The sequence below is a fragment of the Homo sapiens genome, chromosome 1, assembly GCF_000001405.40.
Source record: "Homo sapiens chromosome 1, GRCh38.p14 Primary Assembly".
NCBI classification, from domain to species: Eukaryota; Metazoa; Chordata; class Mammalia; order Primates; family Hominidae; genus Homo; species Homo sapiens.
Genome location: NC_000001.11, coordinates 31,899,057 through 31,916,960, shown reverse-complemented (window position 1 = coordinate 31,916,960; position 17,904 = coordinate 31,899,057). Strand labels below are relative to the sequence as shown.

Sequence of the window (17,904 nt, the reverse complement as noted above, 5' to 3'; positions counted from 1 at the left end):
TCAGAATTTTATTTCTTTAAAAAAAGCATGTTTATTTCATAAAAATATAAAGATACAGATAAGCAAAAAGAATTTAACAACATTTAATTGTTAATAACTGGCTTCTAGATGTTTTTCTCTGCATATATCTGTGTGTATTCATAAATACACATACAGATAGGATCACACTATATATTTTTTAAAATCTTTCCCCATCTTCCTTGGTATTGTTTTTATAGCTGTCATAGTGTTCACTATATGGATGTGCCATACTTCTTTAATCATTCCCTTATTTTTGGACCATTAATGTGGTTTCTAATTTTTCACCATTCCAGTTTGTGGTGAATGTGCTGTTACCTAAATATTTGTATATGTCTTTAATTATTTCTTTTGTATAAACTCCCAGAAGTAGAATTTTTAGGTTGCAGTGTATGTGAACTTTTGTGTAAGTTTTCACGTTATGCTACCAAACTGCCCTTTAGAAAGGTGAGTCTCACACTGCCACTGAGATTTCATGAGTGTCCATTGAATATATAACCACAGTGAGAACAATTCTGATCTTTGTCTAAAAATGATATCTCATTGTTTTAATTTATAATAGTAGATTTCTTTTTTTTTTTTTTTTTTTTTTTTTTTGGAGACGGAGTCTCGCTCTGTCGCCCAGGCTGGAGTGCAGTGGCACGATCTCGGCTCACTGCAATATCTGCCTCCTGGGTTCAAGCGATTCTCCTGCCTCAGCCTCCTGAGTAGCTGGGATTACAGGCCCGCACCACCACACTCAGCTGATCTTTGTATTTTTAATAGAGACGGGGTTTCACTATGTTGGTCAGGCTGGTCTCGAACTCCTTACCTTGTGATATGCCCGCCTCAGGCCTCCCAAAGTGCTGGGATTATAGGCGTGAACCACCCCGCCCGGCCTATAATAGTACATTTCTACATTTTTGGCTGTAGGTTTCAAAAACAAGTTCCATTATAATTTTTTTTTTTTTTAAAGGAACTTAAGAAGTATGGAGTGACGACTTTGGTTCGAGTTTGTGATGCTACATATGATAAAGCTCCAGTTGAAAAAGAAGGAATCCACGTTCTAGTGAGTGTGTAGTATTTAAATTTTTCAAAACAAGTTGTATCTTTCAAACATAAATATTTATAAAACTAGGCCAGGTGCACTGGCTCACACCTATAATCCCAATATTGTGGGAAGATCACTTGAACCCAGGAGTTCAAGACCAGCCTGGGCAATGTGGCGAGATCTCATCTGTACAGATAATTAAAAAACTGGTGGGGCATGTTGGTGCACACCTGTGGTCCCAGCTACTTGGGTTTTTGAGGTGAGGGAATCACTTGAGCCCAGGTGGTTGAGACTGCAGTGAGCTGTGGCCACACCACCACATTCCAGCCTGGGTGACAGAGGGAAACCCCGTCTCAAAAAAAAAAAAAAAAAAAAAATTAAAAACTTGGTATTAGGTGGGCACGGTGGCACACATTTGTAGTCCCAGCTACTTGGGAGGCTGAAGTGAGAGGATCGCCTGAGCCTGGGAGGTCAAGGTTGCAGTGAGCCTTGATTATGCCACTGCACTCCAGCCTGGATGAGAGTAAGACCTTGTCTCAAAAACAAAAACAAAAAAACCCTGGCAGTAATACTTTTGGATTTTTTTAAGGTTGTAGTGGAAAATACATTATTGATAGCAATCTTTCAAATTCTTTTGGATTAACAAATTGGCAGTTTTGTTCATTTGTGCTCTTAAAGCCTACAAATCATAGTATTTTCAACTAATAAAAAGCAAAATTTAGTGTGCTCTTATTTTAACAACATGTAAATTTGCAAGTTTTATTTTTTAGGAAATTAATACAATATTTAGCTTTTGTTTCTAGGCTACTAATTTGAATATAATGAAAGTAATTTCCATCAGACATTCTTAAGTCCATATGGAACTCTGCCACTTTGCAAGTACAAGATTAGTTACTTAATATTTTGTGGATAACTTGTAGGAGGCAAAAAGGTGGGATAAGAGGATGAGGAGAGGTAGAAGGCATCCTCCTCCAGAGTAATCAGCATAGTTTCTGATACTTTTTGTTAGGTTTCTGAGGAGCTTTAGTATGATTAGATTTTTTGTCTAGCTCAATTTGAGCACAAAGTGATTGGAATTATTTTAAATTAAGTTCCTTTTTAGCATCAAAATAGGCTGTTTCCTTATAGCAAATGGGAGCATCAGATTAGTTAACATTTTATTCTTTCTTCCCTAAGTAGTTGTCTAAGTTGTAGGAGCAGCTTTTAGGAGCACGTAATGAAATGATCTTGTAATTTTAGATGTCTTTGAGCTGTTGGTTTGATTGTGGGAAGGTTATGTAGTAGGAAGAGAACTGGAGATTTTATAAGTAGTTAGGAAGAACGTAACAAGGAAGATACTGGTTTAAGGTTATGTTCCTGCTTCTTATTGAGAGGTAGTTCTGTAGTCTTTATTATATTGGTCAGTGGTTGGGAAGGCAGTTGATGCAAAAAGAATAATGACCTATTGGTAAGGCAGTCCTCTTATATCTGATCCATAGTTTCCTCATGTCCATTTTGGTGAAAATAAAAACTAAATAGCCAAATGTGTTTTAAAAAAATGTGTTTTAGGGCCCTGTGTGGTGGCTCATGCCTGTTCCCACCACTCTGGGAGGCCAAGGTAGGTGGATCACTTGAGTCCAGGAGTTCCAAGACTAGTGGGGCAACATGGTGAAACCCTGTCTCTCCGAAAAATACAAAAATTAGCTGGACGTGATGGCATGCACCTATAGTCCTAGCTACTTGGGAGGTTGAGGTGGGAGGATCACCTGAACCCGAGAGGTCAAGGCTGCAGTGAGCCATGATTGTGCTGCTGTGCTCCAGCTTGGGTGACAGAGACCTTGTCAGTCAATCAGTCAATAATGTGTTTTAATAGTTTGGCATGGTAATAATTTGCTTGCAGTCAAATTTCTAAATGACTTTACTGTCCACTGCTGGAAATCACTGGGAATGAGTGTAAACATGTCAAATGCAGCCCTGTGTTTAAAAAGTAGTAATAAAATTTAAACTTCCGAAAATAAGCTGCATACAAGTTTATTTTGCTGCATTATGAATATGTTCTCTAGTGAGCAAAAATCAACTTGTTTTGACAGATGGCAGAGTGAGAAAATGACTGGATTGACCATAGTCTGTTTGAGTCAGTAATGTTGGTAAACATCTTTGTGAAATAGAAATGAACTAAAGAACTTGAACTAGTTTGAGGAAGATAATGGTAGGCCTAAGATTTATTCCAGGCCTTTAAATTTAGGTTTTTGTTTTGTTTTAAATAGCTGTGATCTGGGAAATGCAAATCAAAAGCACAATATGATACCACCTTACTCCTGTAAGAATGGCCGTAATCAAAAAATTAAAAAAAAAAATAGATGTTGTCAGGGATGTGGTGAAAAGGGAACACTTGTACACTGCTGGTGGGAATGTAAACTAGTACAACCACTATAGAAAACAGCGTGGAGATTCCTTAAAGAACTAAAAGTAGAACTATCATTTGATCCAGCAATCCCATTACTGGGTATCTACCCAGAGGAAAATAAGTCATTAAAAACAAACAAACAAACAAATAAATAAATAGCTATGATCAGATAAAATGAAAGGTTTAACTTACACTTGAAAAAACAAGGGCATTTAGCCTTAAGCTTGGAATTTCCTTTTCCCAGACAGAGATTTTAAGAGTTAATCTAATTTTGCTAGGTGAGGAGGGTTTTGGAACATTTCATGGTAAGAGGATATCCCCAAATAAGGCCTGTCAGTCCTCTGAATGCTCTTGCAAACCAGACACACATTGGAATAGACTAATGGTGGTTTTAGCTGTATCAATTTGAGGTTCAGATGTTTCTAAATGATTAATGATTTTTTTAAAAATAGACACTACTTATATGAGTAAGTGAAGCATGTTTTATATTGTTTCTTAACTAGGTGCATTTTAGGGAGTATTAGAGGAAGTAAGCTCTTGACTAAGGTACTGGTTTTATTGCTATTTACAGTTAAACTCTCTAGTGACATTTATAATAACACAGTCCTTTAATTATGGGGCGTAGTTGTCAACTCAATCATGTACTGTTTTGGCTAATGGGCTACATGAAGTGTTCTAGTGGTGCCAATAATGAATGCAGAATCAATTTAATGCTCTGTCACTTTTCTCTTTTTCCTCCCCTAATATCTTAAAGTGTCCTTATCCAATCTCATTAGAATAGCCTTATGTTTTTAAAAAAATTCCTAACAGTGTTTTTGCATTTCTATCTTTGAAGCTTAGATGGCAGGAGGGAAGGCTTGTAAAATGTCAGCCCCCAGTCCCCCTCCTCCACTCCCCATTTGTGTTGGTTTCTTAGGACCTCTTGCTAAGTAGTGAGGAAGATAAACCCCTGCCTATACTGTGAATGCTCGTGGGATTAGTCTTAATTGAAAGATAGCCCAAATAGGTGAATACAGAAAGAGAAAGGGATACTTGACAAAATGGTCTCCATTTGCCCAGGACCCTGTCATGCAGCCCTGTCCTTGTTAAATGGGGACATATATAATTTAGTAAGCACTTTAAAAATACTCACTGCTTGCCTTTTAATAAGCACAAAGATGGTAGTTTGTTTCTGTTATGATTTACTAACTATTGGAGATTTCTTATCAGATAACCTTTCTCTAAAGATGTCATAACTTAGTTATCTTGAATTATAATCTTCAATTATCTGTAGAGACCAATGAGACACCAGTTGGTATGCTTTGCCAGAGTGGACTTTTAAATCATGTTGACATGTGCTGTGTCCTCTGTTACTTTGTCTTGGCTTTAATTACAGTTTTGTCTATTATGTCTAATTACTACTCTATTCAGATATCATTTTTGGGAGAACACTAGCTCTTATGACTCTGATAGAGATTTCTGTAAGTTTTTGTAAATTCAGATGTGTGCGACACTGCATTGAGAAGGGTAATTTATTTGGCAAACTTTAATTTCAATCCTGGATCATTTTACAGCAATGATCAGAATTGTGTTAACAATAGGTATATATAGTGCAGTTAGTTCAGTTAGGCCTGCCGTGTGTACTGTGTGCAGGTATTCTGTATTAGGATGTTAATCATGGAGAAAATATCAATTTAATGTAAAAGGTCATTTCTTTTCAGGATTGGCCATTTGATGATGGAGCTCCACCCCCTAATCAGATAGTAGATGATTGGTTAAACCTGTTAAAAACCAAATTTCGTGAAGAGCCAGGTTGCTGTGTTGCAGTGCATTGTGTTGCAGGATTGGGAAGGTAAACTCTTACCTTTATTACCCTTTTTGTCTGAATTCATTACCATGCCTAAGTTAGTTGAAAGTTTCACTTTGGTAGACATTTGCATATATTATACTAAATAACATTAAATTACCTGAAAGGAAAGGAAATGAGAGGAAAAACTAGTGTAATGATTTCTCAAAAGAGCCTGTTCATTTCATCTGGTTGTCTGATTCTGATGCCAGCCTGGATTGTGGGTGTTTTATTTTTCTCCCTATTTCAAGTAATCAAAAGTTCAGGTCACTGAAATTGGCAACAAAATTAAAATAATTTTAGAGTTTGATGAATCTATACATGGTTAATTTTGGACTGAGATGAATGGGAAGTTAATAGATAGCAGATATCTGAACTTTAAACTCTTGAAAGAAGATGTATGGACAAGAATTGACTTTGATCTTAAAACCTTTTCCCCTGAGCATTGCTTAGAATGGTGTTGCAACGCTGTCATCAGCAGCAGATTAAATGCCAATTTAGGATGCACACTTTGACTCAAAACATTAGTGTAGGCTGCCATTGCCTCAAGGTGGTGATTACTCAAGCTGTTAGTTCTGCTCTGCCCTTTTGTTTGCTATTTCCTTTTTTGTAGTGTGGTACTGTTTGTTCATAAGGTTAGAAGTTTTAGTCCTTATCCTGAAGGTTGAAGATAATGTTGTAACGTGAGTTGGCAGTTTTATAACTAGTAGCTATCCTAGTTTTAGGTAGCCCAAAATTGGTGCCCTGTAATGGGCTTTATAAAAACATCATTTCCTTTGTTAAATTTTTTTAAAAAGATAGAACTTCTTCTAGTCATCAATTCTTGGGCATTTTCCTAGCTCATCAAAAGGATTTTCTTGAAAACGTCTAGCACCTTTTTAGCATTTGATAAGGAAATATTAAAATCAATTGGTAATGAAAATTCTGACACATTGGAGATAAGTAATATGTTTGGTCATTTATTTTACTGTGATAATGGCTAAAGGCCAATGAAGGATTTTTGATCATATCTAGTGATGAGAGAATTTAATATATAATGTGATGTTTTAAAGAGTAAAGATTTCTTAAGGTTTAGAATTTAGTGCTTTACTAAAAGTAGATAATCAGGCTGGGCGCTATGGTTCACGCCTGTAATCCCAGCACTTTGGGAGGCGGAGGCAGGCAGATTGCTTGAGCCTAGGAGTTCAAGAGCAGACTGGGTAACACGGAGAAACCCCGTCTCTACTAACTATTAAAAATCAAAAATTAGCTGGGCATGGTGGCGGGCACCTATAGTCCGAGCTATTTGAGGAACTGAGGCAGGAGGATCACCTGAGCTTTGGGAGGTTGAGGCTGCGGTGAGCCGTGATTGTGCCACTGCACTCTGGCCTGGGTGATAGAGCGAGACCCTGTCCCCTGCCCCGCCAAAAAAAAAAATCATAGAATTAATGATGATGAGATATATTTACTGTATTAGGCAGATACCAGCTACTTTAGTATACAGGAAAAAGAAAGCTCATGCGTTGCATTGGTAATATGCAGTTACAGGTTTTTAAAAATCCTTTCACTCCAAGACTTATGGATACTTACATACAGGTTTCTTTCTGCAGGGCACCTGTGCTGGTTGCACTTGCTTTGATTGAATGTGGAATGAAGTACGAAGATGCAGTTCAGTTTATAAGACAGTGAGTATGAAGTTTTTGTGTTCAGAAACACAGAAAGCAAGATCATGCATGAGGAAGGAATTATGGAAGGGATATTCATTTATAGTATGGGATAATTTGCTTTTTTTGGCTTGAAGTATTATTTGAAGATGTAAAAAATTTAGAGCAAGTGATAGAGACTCAGTACAGCTGGTTTCCAGATTCAAAAGTTTTCTAATTTGGACATTATAGACTGTGTCCAGTATATTGTTTTGAGTATCTAGGAATCTCAAAAATGCCCCTTTTAATAGATTCCAAATACCTTCCAAATATAATTCTCTGTTAGGAGGAGGCAAGAAGAATGTGTAGAGGAGCAGTTAATCACCTGAGACTCTTTTTTTTTTTTTTGAGATGGAGTCTCGCTCTGTTGCTCAAGCTGGAGTGCAGTGGCTCAATCTCGGCTCACTGCAACCTCTGCCTCCTGGGTTCAAGCGATTCTACTGCCTCAGCCTCTCAAGTAGCTGGGACTACAGGCACGCACCACCACGCCCAGCTAATTTTTGTATTTTTAGTAGACGGGGTTTCACCATGTTGGCCAGGATGATCTCAATCTCCTGATCTCGTGATCCGCCCACCTCGGCCTCCCAAAGTGCTGGGATTACAGGCGTGAGCCACCACGCCTGGCCTCACCTGGGACTCTTAAGTGATCTATTCAGGGACAAAATCAGGATGGTAGTGCACAGACAGGATCTTGACATTGATCTGGAATAACGAATCATGCTATTTTGTTATCCAGAATTCTTTGACAATTTTTGTCTTGCCCTTTCCCTTTCAACCCTTCCTTTAAAAAAAGAAAACGAAAGTAGAAACTATTCTGATCTTTATTAAATGGTTAATAGACTATAATGACAGTCAGCAAGAAAAATTTTTCTATTCCTTCTAGGAGGGCTTAGAAAGTTCATGTTGCAACTTAGCTCTTTAAGAATTGTTGTAGTATGGGAAATATGCTGGTTTTCAGCTGTGTGGAATTAGAAAGGCTTTAGGATGTAAATAATGCATTTCAGTGAATCAGACAGCTCTTTTTTTACATGATAAAGTTTGCCATTCTTGTATTTTCAGAAAAAGAAGGGGAGCGTTCAATTCCAAACAGCTGCTTTATTTGGAGAAATACCGACCTAAGATGCGATTACGCTTCAGAGATACCAATGGGCATTGCTGTGTTCAGTAGAAGGAAATGTAAACGAAGGCTGACTTGATTGTGCCATTTAGAGGGAACTCTTGGTACCTGGAAATGTGAATCTGGAATATTACCTGTGTCATCAAAGTAGTGATGGATTCAGTACTCCTCAACCACTCTCCTAATGATTGGAACAAAAGCAAACAAAAAAGAAATCTCTCTATAAAATGAATAAAATGTTTAAGAAAAGAGAAAGAGAAAAGGAATTAATTCAGTGAAGGATGATTTTGCTCCTAGTTTTGGAGTTTGAATTTCTGCCAGGATTGAATTATTTTGAAATCTCCTGTCTTTTTAAACTTTTTCAAAATAGGTCTCTAAGGAAAACCAGCAGAACATTAGCCTGTGCAAAACCATCTGTTTGGGGAGCACACTCTTCCATTATGCTTGGCACATAGATCTCCCTGTGGTGGGATTTTTTTTTTCCCTTTTTTTGTGGGGGAGGGTTGGTGGTATATTTTTCCCCTCTTTTTTCCTTCCTCTCCTACATCTCCCTTTTCCCCCGATCCAAGTTGTAGATGGAATAGAAGCCCTTGTTGCTGTAGATGTGCGTGCAGTCTGGCAGCCTTAAGCCCACCTGGGCACTTTTAGATAAAAAAAAAAAAAAAACAAAAAACAACACCAAAAAAACAGCAGTGATATATATATATATATATATATATATATATATATATATATATATATATATATATATATATATATATAATATAATATATATATATATATATATATTTTCCAGGTGGTTTTTAGTCTTTACTGATGAAAGGGTGTTCATGTTAGTTTCTTCAAAACCCTATCTAATACTAGGCAAAGTAGCCAAGAGCCTTTTGTTTTGTTTTTATTTTGATAAATTAGTGGAGAAATGGCATTTTAAGAGGAGTCTCTTCTCAACTTACCTGAGAGTCGAATTCTTCTCTTCCCTAACCAATGAAGCTAAGTGGTTATCCCAGAAACTTGTCTTCTAAAAGGGAGGACTCCAGGCCATCAATAAAGATGTCCAGGCAGTGAGCGTACTTTTTACACCCTGTAGAATTGTGGGCTGTAGCGTTACTCTGATTTTCTGTCTAGTATCAGAGAATGCTGGTAGCTTAAAATTTTTATTTTAGGACTTGTACTCTGAATTTTCAGGAACCGTCAAAGGAGCAGCAGCAAATTCACATATTTTCGACTTGAGAAATGCTTGTGGTATGTGTTTTCCAAACTGCCCCCTATATGTAAAGTTCAGTTTAACCACTGATTGCCTTGTTATTACTAGGTTTTTTGAGATTAAAAAAAAAAAATCCCTGGTTTAAAACCAACAATGATGCCTAGTGAGTATGTGTCCACAGGCCATAACAGGGTAGAAGAGAGACATCGTGCAACCCAATGAGTAGTGAAGGGACTGTGTTGCTTGTGAAGCGGTGTAGTAGCATTTTTGCAGATTCTTGGCTGGGTTTAGTGTACTGATCTAGAAAAGCTGTTTTTCTGCTCCTTTGTGGAAGGCAGTTATGATCAGGCTGCATGGACAAAGCAGGTAGAGGGGCACCATCAGGGGCTCTTGCACTATTTTCACCTCTAAATATTACGTACTCAGTAGTGCCCTGCTTCTAGGGCTCTGAATACGGGCTTAAAGTCATCTTGTCCTGCTGGAATTTGCTGTGCAGAGCCATAAGCCTCCCATTTTGTTAGCGTCAGCTAGGCCAATAGGAACAGACCGGGACCTTGTCTCACACTGATGATACCTCACATGTTGACCGGCTATGTGAACTGCCTATTTCCTATGCTGGAGTTTTGATTTTTAACTAAACGCAAATCTGTAGATTCTCTCCTCTCCCATCCCAGAAAACAAAACAAAATAATGCTTTTCGAAATTGTTTCTAGGACTTTAAAACATAATGGTATATCCAAAATTCTTTATTTCAGAATGCAACAATAGATTCCATTAATATAGACTCAAGATCAAAACAGCATACCTGCTAAGCTAAGATAGATGGTGTTGATTCCACTGGGTTTTGATCAATACAATAACAAACCTTTTTCCTTTGACATACTCTGAATTTTGTTGTTTGGGGGGAGGGGGTGTGTGTGTGTGTGTGTGTGTGTGTGTGTGTATGTGTGTGTGTGTGTGTGCACGCGCAGTGTCCATCAGTATCAGTGCCTGCCTGAGTTAGGAAAATTACATTCCTGGTTCTGTATTGAGGAGAAGGATGTATAAAGCAACATGAAACATTAGCCCTCCTTTTATTTTAAAGACTAATGTTAATTGTTCTTAAAACTGGATTTTTTTTCCTTAAAGCAATTTTTTTCTTTTCGATTTAATGAAGTATTGCTAGCTGAAGCCAGTTTGACATAGAGAGATGTCAGATTGATTTGAAAGGTGTGCAGCCTGATTTAAAACCAAACCCTGAACCCTTTTAAAGAACAATAAAACATATTTTACACGCTCTTTGTGCATTTTTTTCCTCCATCCTCAAGAGTTTATGTCTGTGCTTATAAAGCGGAGTTTAAGCTGGGTGCAGTGGCTCATGCCTATAATCCCAGCACTTCGGAAGGCCAAGGCAGGCGGATCACTTGAGCCCCAGGAGTTCAAGACCAGCCTGGGTAATGTGTTGAGTCCATCTCTACAAAAAAAAAATGTTTAATAATTAGCTGGGCATGGTGGTGTGTGCTTGCAGTCTCAGCTACTTGGGAGGCTGAGGTGAGAGGAACACTTGAGCCCAAGAGGTTGAGGCTGTAGTGAGCTGTGATCATGCCACTATACTCCAGCCTTGGTGACAGACACCCTGTCCCAAAACAACAACAACAAAACCAAAATTTCACTTACATCTGTTCCCCTTTCTTTGCCTGCTATTTTCAAGGACTGTTTTGGGTCCTGCTAGTTTACTGCAAGGAGGTAAAATAGAGGCTTGGAAATTCAAAGATTTTATGTCACTGAGGTGTTCAGGAAGAGCCAACTTAACCATAGCTGGGATACATCTAGTACATTTTCTGGTTCAGTTCTTGTATACAACCCTGTAGGAATTCAGCATCTTGTCAAAGGCTTGGTTTATACCATAGATTATTATTTTTTAGAGACAGAGTCGTGTAGTGCTTCCCAGGCTGGAGTGCAGTGGCTATTCACAGAGTCAATAATCGCATATACTATGGCCATTCTGAGTAGTCTCTCACTGCACCCAGCTTATTTATACCATAGGTTTTGGTGAAGCATTGCAACTTTGTACTTGAATTCGTATTAAAGAACAATGAGGAAGTAACAGCTCTGTATTAATATATCAGGATTTGGGAGTGTGGAATTTCCCTTTCACTATGGGTAAGCATCCATCCACCCAGGTAACAACATGCTCAGATACTAGGAAAAGATACGACACTCATTTCACTTTGGAGTACCTCAGTCTGGAGGGGGTGTCAGATATGTAGACATAAAACAGTTACAGTGGGTGGTTATAGTACTATTTATAGATCATTGATCCACAGCCTGGGCAACATGGCCAAACCCCAACTTGACAAAAAATACAAAAAGTAACTGGGTGTCGTGGCGCACTACCATCTGGACTACAGTCCCAGCTACTCGGGAGGCTGAAGTGAGAGGATTGCTTGAACATGGGAGGCTGAGGTTGCAGTGACCTGATACTGTGCCACTGCACTTCATCCTGGGTGACAGCGAGACGAGTCTCAGAATTCATTGATCCTGCCACTTCTCTTCACCTCTTTTCACTTCTTCATGTCCTTCATTACCTAGCTTAGGTTCTGTGATGCACTGTGACAATCAGCTTTTCAGCCTTGCCCCATCTCTTGTTGCATTGTACTTCCCTGGCTAAAATCCATTTTTGGTTAAGTTCAGTACTCCACTTTCTGTGCACTTAAGTACTTACACAACTGAACATGCTGATTCAGTCTCTCTAAGGTCATGACCTCCCCGGGCCAGGTGGTACGCGCCTATTAAGTCTCAGTTACTCAGGAGGCTGAGGCAAGAGAATCACTTGAGCCCAGGAGTTTTGAGGCTACATTGTGAAATGATTGTGCCCGTGAACAGCCACTGCACTCCATCCTGGGCAACATAGTGAGACCCTGTCTTGAAAACTAAAGCTATGACCTCACATGAGCCTCAAAACCTCTCAATCCTAGTACATTTCTCTATCCCATTTACACTTTCTCTTAAATTTTTAACACCTTTGCCATCCTCTCAGCTTATGACTTTTTAAAACTTAGAAATAAAATTTTCACAAGCTCCTCCCATCACATCTACTCACCCACCTGCATCTGTGCTACTGTCTTTTAGTTACTATAGGCAGACTGTCCTTGCCCAATTTTTTTTTTTTTTTTTTTGAGACTGAGTCTTGCTCTGTCACCCAGGCTGGAGTACAGTGGCGCAATCTCAGCTCACTGCAACTTCCGCCTCCCGGGAGCAAGCGATTCTCCTGCCTCAGCATCCTGAGTAGCAGGGATTACAGGCACATGCCACCAAGCCCAGCTAAATTTTGTATTTTTAGTAGAGACGGGGTTTCACCATATTGGTCAGGCTGGTCTCAAACTCCTGACCTCATGATCTGCCTACCTTGGCCTCCCAAAGTGCTGGGATTACAGGCATGAGCCACTGCCCGGCCTGTCCTTGCCCTATTTAAGGCAAGCTCTTCCACTTGTGTGCTAAATTCCATCCCTTAACCTGTTCAAAGGGCCCAGAGGTGTAGCCATTTTCCTTCTCTGTCCTGCTCATTAACTTTTCCCCCTACTAGATCATTCCCATGAGCTTATAAACATGCTAGTATTCCATATTTTAAAAAAATCCTTGTTTGACCCCGCATCTGCCCCTTCAGCTGTCATCCCGCTTCTTTGCTCTTCTCTAGTACAAGTTGAGAATTATCTATCTATGCTCTCTACTTCTCTCCTTTGAGCTTGCACCAATGAGGATTTTGACTCCACAGAACAGCCCGTGTTAAAGATCGCCAGAGGCTGGGTGCAGTGGCTCATGCCTGCACTTTGGGAGGCCAAGGCAGACAGATCACATGAGGCCAGGAGTTCAAGACCAGCCTCCCAACATGGTGAAACCCCGTCTCTACTGAAAATACAAAATTAGCTGGATGTGGTGGCACACGCCTGTAATCCCAGCTACTCTGGGTGGCTGAGGCACGAGAATCGCTTGAACCTGGGAGGCAGAGGTTGCAGTGAGCCAAAATTATGCTTCTGTGCTCCTACCTGGTCAACAGAGTAAGACTGTCTAAAAAAAAAAAAAAAAAAAAAAAAAAAAGGATCACCCCGATCGATGGTCAATTCTCATAACTTTTTTTTGAGGGTCTTGTTTTGTCACCCAGGCTGGAGTGTAGTGGCATGATCATAGCTCACCGTAACCTTGAACTCGGGCTCAAACGATCCTACCTCAGCCTCCTGAGTAGCTAGGACTACACGTGCATGTCACTGTGCCCAGCTAATTAAAATTTTTTGGTTGGGTGTGGTGGCTCACATCTGTAATCCCAGCACTTCGGGAGGCCGAGGCGGGCGGATCACCTGAGGCCAGGGGTTCGAGACCAGCCTGGCCAACATGGCGAAACCCCGTCTCTTCTAAAAATACAAAATTAGCCAGGCAGGGTGATGCATGCCTGTAGTCCCAGCTACTCGGGAGGCTGAGGCAGGAGAATCGTGCCATTGCACTCCAGCCTGGGTGACGAGCGAAACTCTGTCTCAAAAAAAAAAATTTTTTTTTTTTTTTTTTTTTGGAGAGACATAGTCTTCATAGCCTTTATTTATTTATTTATTTAGGACATGGAGTCTTGCTCTGTGGCCCAGGCTGGAGTGCAGTGGCGCGATCTCGGCTCACTGCAATCTCTACCTCCTGGGTTTAAGCAATTCTCCTGCCTCAGCCTCCCAAGTAGCTGGGACTACAGGCACGTGCCACCACGCCCAGCTAATTTTTGTATTTTTAGTAGAGATGGAGTTTCACCATGTTGGCCAGGCTGGTCTTGAACTCCTGACCTCAAGTGATCCCTCCACTTCGGCCTCCCAAAGTGCTGGGATTACAGGCGTGAGCTACCGTGCCTGGCCAAAACATAGTCTTTTTATGTTGCCCAGGCTGGTCTTGAGCTCCTGGTCTCAAATGATCCCCCTGCCTCCGCTTCCCAGAGCGCTGAGATGATGAGCATGAGCCACTGTGCCCACCTTCATAACTTCTTTGACATGTCAGCATATGGTACAGTTGACCACTTCCTCTTTGAAATGCTTCATTTGCATGTAGGAAAATAATGCCCTTCTCCCCTAACCCCCCCTCAAATGTCCAGGTTCTAAATCCCTGGAACCTGTGAATGTTATCCTACATGTCAAAGGGACTTTGTGGGTGTGATTAAGTTCGGAATTTTGAGATGGGAAGAATATCTTGGATTATCTTGGTAGGCCTGATCTAATAGCATGGATCCGAAAAGCAGAGAACCTTTCCTAGCTGAGGTCAGAGGGAGATGTGTCTAGGATAGAAGGATCAGAGATTTATTTGAAGGTGGAGGGAAGGGGCCAGGAGCCAAGGAGTGACGGCAGCCTCGAACCTGGAGAAGGCAAGGAAACAGATTCGCCCAACAGCCTCCAAGAAGGAACTTAGCCTGCTAACACCTTGATTTTGGTTGCATGTAGGATTTCTACAGAACTGTAGGGTAAATCTGTGTTGTTTTCAGCCACAATGTTTGAGATAATTTATTATAGCACCAATAGAAAACGAATACAGGTTTTTGCCTCTAGAACACTACACTCCTGAGTTTTCACCTAGTTTAGTTGCCACACCTCAGTTTCGGTTTCTGGTTCCTCATTAGCTTCTACACTTCTGTTCTATCTCCCTGGACTCTATTCTCTGGATTCTAGACCCATATCCAATACCTCCCTCTCATCTCTCACTGATGTGTCATAGTGGAAACTTAACTTTAATTCTTGCTCAAATGTTAGCTTGAGTGAAGCTTTCCATGGCCACCCTATTTGTCCCACTAAGCTTTAGTGTCCTCTGTAATACTTACCACCATCTCACAAGCTTCTTTTTTTTTTTTTTTTTTTTTTTTTTAAAGTTTCACTCTTGTTGCCCAGGCTGGAGTGTGATGGTGCCATCTTGGCTTACTGCAAACTCCGCCTCCTGGGTTCAAGCAATTCTCATGCCTCAGCCTCCCAAGTAGCTGGGATTACAGGCATGTGCCACCACGTCCAGCTAATTTTGTATTTTTAGTAGAGACAGGGTTTCTCCATGTTGATCAGGCCGGTCTCAAACTCCCAACCTCAGGTGATACGCCTGCCTCGGCCTCCCAAAGTGCTGGGATTGCAGACAGGTGTGAGCCACTGCACCCGGCCTCGACCTTTTAATTATTTGTTTCCCCCACCAAAATATAAGCTCAACAAAGGCATAGCTGTTTTTTGTTTTGTGTTTCGTTCACCGTATCTTCAGCACCTCAAATAGTGCTTGGCATGCAGCAGGTGCTCAGTGGATACTGAATGAATGGGTATGGATAGAGACATAGACGAATTATGGTACTGTGATACTAGGGGGTAACTAAAACTGCCCTGGAGCACATCAGGAGATGCTGCAGTGGGCATGTTTGAGCTGGATTTTGAAGGATGAGATAGAAAAGGTTGATACACAATGAGATAGCATGTTCCATCCATCAGAATGGCTATCATAAAAAAGATGGACCATAACAAGTCTTGGGAAGGGTATGAAGAAGTTGGAACCTTTATACATTGCTGGTAATAATATAAAGCGATGGTGCAGTCACTTTTGAAAAACAGTTTGGCAGTTTCTCAAAAAGTTAAACACTTGCCATATGACCCAGCAATTCCAATATGTACAATTTTCAATTCTACATATATACAAGGGAAATGAAGACATTACGGTTACATGGGCTAGGGCGGGGACAGGGTTTCTTTCTGTGGTGATAAAAGTGTTCTGGGATTAGACAGTGGTGATGGTTGCATAACAGTGTGACTGCATTAAATGCTGCTAAGTTGTACACTTACAAAAAAAGGTTGATGTGGGGACAGTACATTTCAGGTTGAGGAAATAATACAAGGCAGTGGAAGTATGAAAGAGCATGGTATTTTTGGGAGAAGGGGCAAGATTTGGTCTCTCTGGAGGGTTTGGATTTGTGCTAGGCAGGTTTGGTTGTCATCAGAGTAGAAGAGGTACTAGACACCCCTTCCTTGTACCTCCCCGTCTACCCCCGAGGCCATAGATGATTGGATCAGGGATAGACAGTTGACTCAACTGCTGACATTGGCCAGCAGATTCTCGTTTTTTTTTTTTTTTGAGATGTAGTGTTGCTCTGCTGCCCAGGTGGGAGTGCAGTGGTGTGATCTCTGCTCACTGCAACCTCTGCCTCCCGGGTTCAAGCGATTCTCCTGCCTCAGCCTCCCAAGTAGCTGGGACTACAGGTGTATGCCACGAGGCCTGGCTAATTTTTGTATTTTTAGTAGAGATGAAGTTTCACCATGTTAGCCAGGCTGGTCTCGAACTCCTGACCTCAAGTGATCCACCTGCCTCAGCCTCCTAGAGTACTGAGATTACAGGCGTGAGCCACCGTGCCCAGCCCAGATTCTCAATTTCAACTGAGGTAGACTCTTGGATGTGAGGGGCCAGTAGGGCCATGTGTATGTTGGGTCATATGTGAGACGAGTAGACATAGGACAGAGGAAGGAGGACGGAGAAGCAGCCCAGGGGAGCAGAGAGAAGAGACTGTGGCCTGGGATTAGGGGAGCAATGCCCCTGAATTCAGAGTTCTTTTTCATAAAGCCCAGCTGCACGTCGTCCCCTGAAGTCCTTTCGATGGTTTCTGTCCCTTCCCTCGCCCCTTGTTTAAAATAGCTTGAGTCAGTTTCTTAATAACCAAGAGAGCCTTGACTAGAAGGGATTATACAAATAGCATGTTAAATGCTGTGACTGAAGCTCCTATAGGTAGAGTGGTGATTTATGCTACATCCTATACACTATTCTAGGCACTGAGGATATAGTGGGAAACAAGAAACACGCTCTGCCCTGGTAGGGCTTACATTCTACTGGAGAAGACAGAGAATAAACAGGTACACAAATTAGTAATCTATTTTCAGATAGTGATTGCTTGAGCTCAGGAGTTTGAGACCAGCCTGGCTAACATGGTGAAACCCCATCTCTACAGAAAATACAAAAATTAGCCAGGCATGGTGGTGCATACCTGTAGTCCCAACTACTTGGGAGGCTGAGGTGGGAGGATTGCCTGAGCCCAGGAGGCAGAGGTGGCAGAAAGAAAGAAATTTGAAACTTTATTGATCATTTCTCAATCTGGAGAAGACATCAGATTCAACTATGTGGTTTATTAAAAATGTCCACGTCCAGGTACCACCCAGATCATTCTGAATCAGTCTCTAGTTGTGAATCCGCTTTGGGCGGTGGGGAGCCATGAAGGTTGGTAAGCACAGCAGCTACGTGGTCAGATCTATTCTCAGAAAGTTATTCAAGGAGCTCCTTAAATCAGAGACCGTACCTGTTATGTAAACCCAGTTCCTGATTTGTACTATGCATGCAACAAATATCAGCTGAAGGAATGAGAATGAATTGGAGAGACTAGAAGCTGAGAGACATTTATGGATGGTGGGTGGATGATAGTTGCAGCAGTTCAGGACAGAAGTGTTGGGGCCTTAACTAAGGGAGCAGCGGATGGATGGGGTAGAAGATTCTTTCCTTTTAGCCACCAGATCCCAGATCTACATGAAAAGGTATCCAGCATATCTACATGCTAATTTCTTTCTTTGTTTCTTTTTTCTTTTTTTGAGACGGAGTCTCGCTCTGTTGCTCAGGCTGGATGCAGTGGCACGATCTCA

The 17,904-nt window shown here is 40.9% G+C and overlaps 1 protein-coding gene across 6 annotated transcripts in view; it reads left to right on the top strand.

Moving 5' to 3' along the window:
• PTP4A2 (protein tyrosine phosphatase 4A2) overlaps window positions 1–10,540 on the top strand; it is a 31,948-nt gene extending 21,408 nt beyond the window's left edge. For 3 of the 6 annotated variants that reach the window (NM_080391.4, NM_001369860.1, NM_001369859.1), the window contains 4 exons: window positions 974–1,066; window positions 5,135–5,265; window positions 6,849–6,923; window positions 8,001–10,540. In NM_080391.4, the coding sequence (NP_536316.1) occupies window positions 974–1,066; window positions 5,135–5,265; window positions 6,849–6,923; window positions 8,001–8,109 (408 nt within the window). In that variant the 3' untranslated portion in view covers window positions 8,110–10,540. The remainder of the gene's footprint in view (window positions 1–973; window positions 1,067–5,134; window positions 5,266–6,848; window positions 6,924–8,000) is intronic. The other 3 variants (NM_001195101.2, NM_001369858.1, NM_001195100.2) reach the window with 2 other exon arrangements.
• Window positions 10,541–17,904: the final 7,364 nt, after the last annotated feature.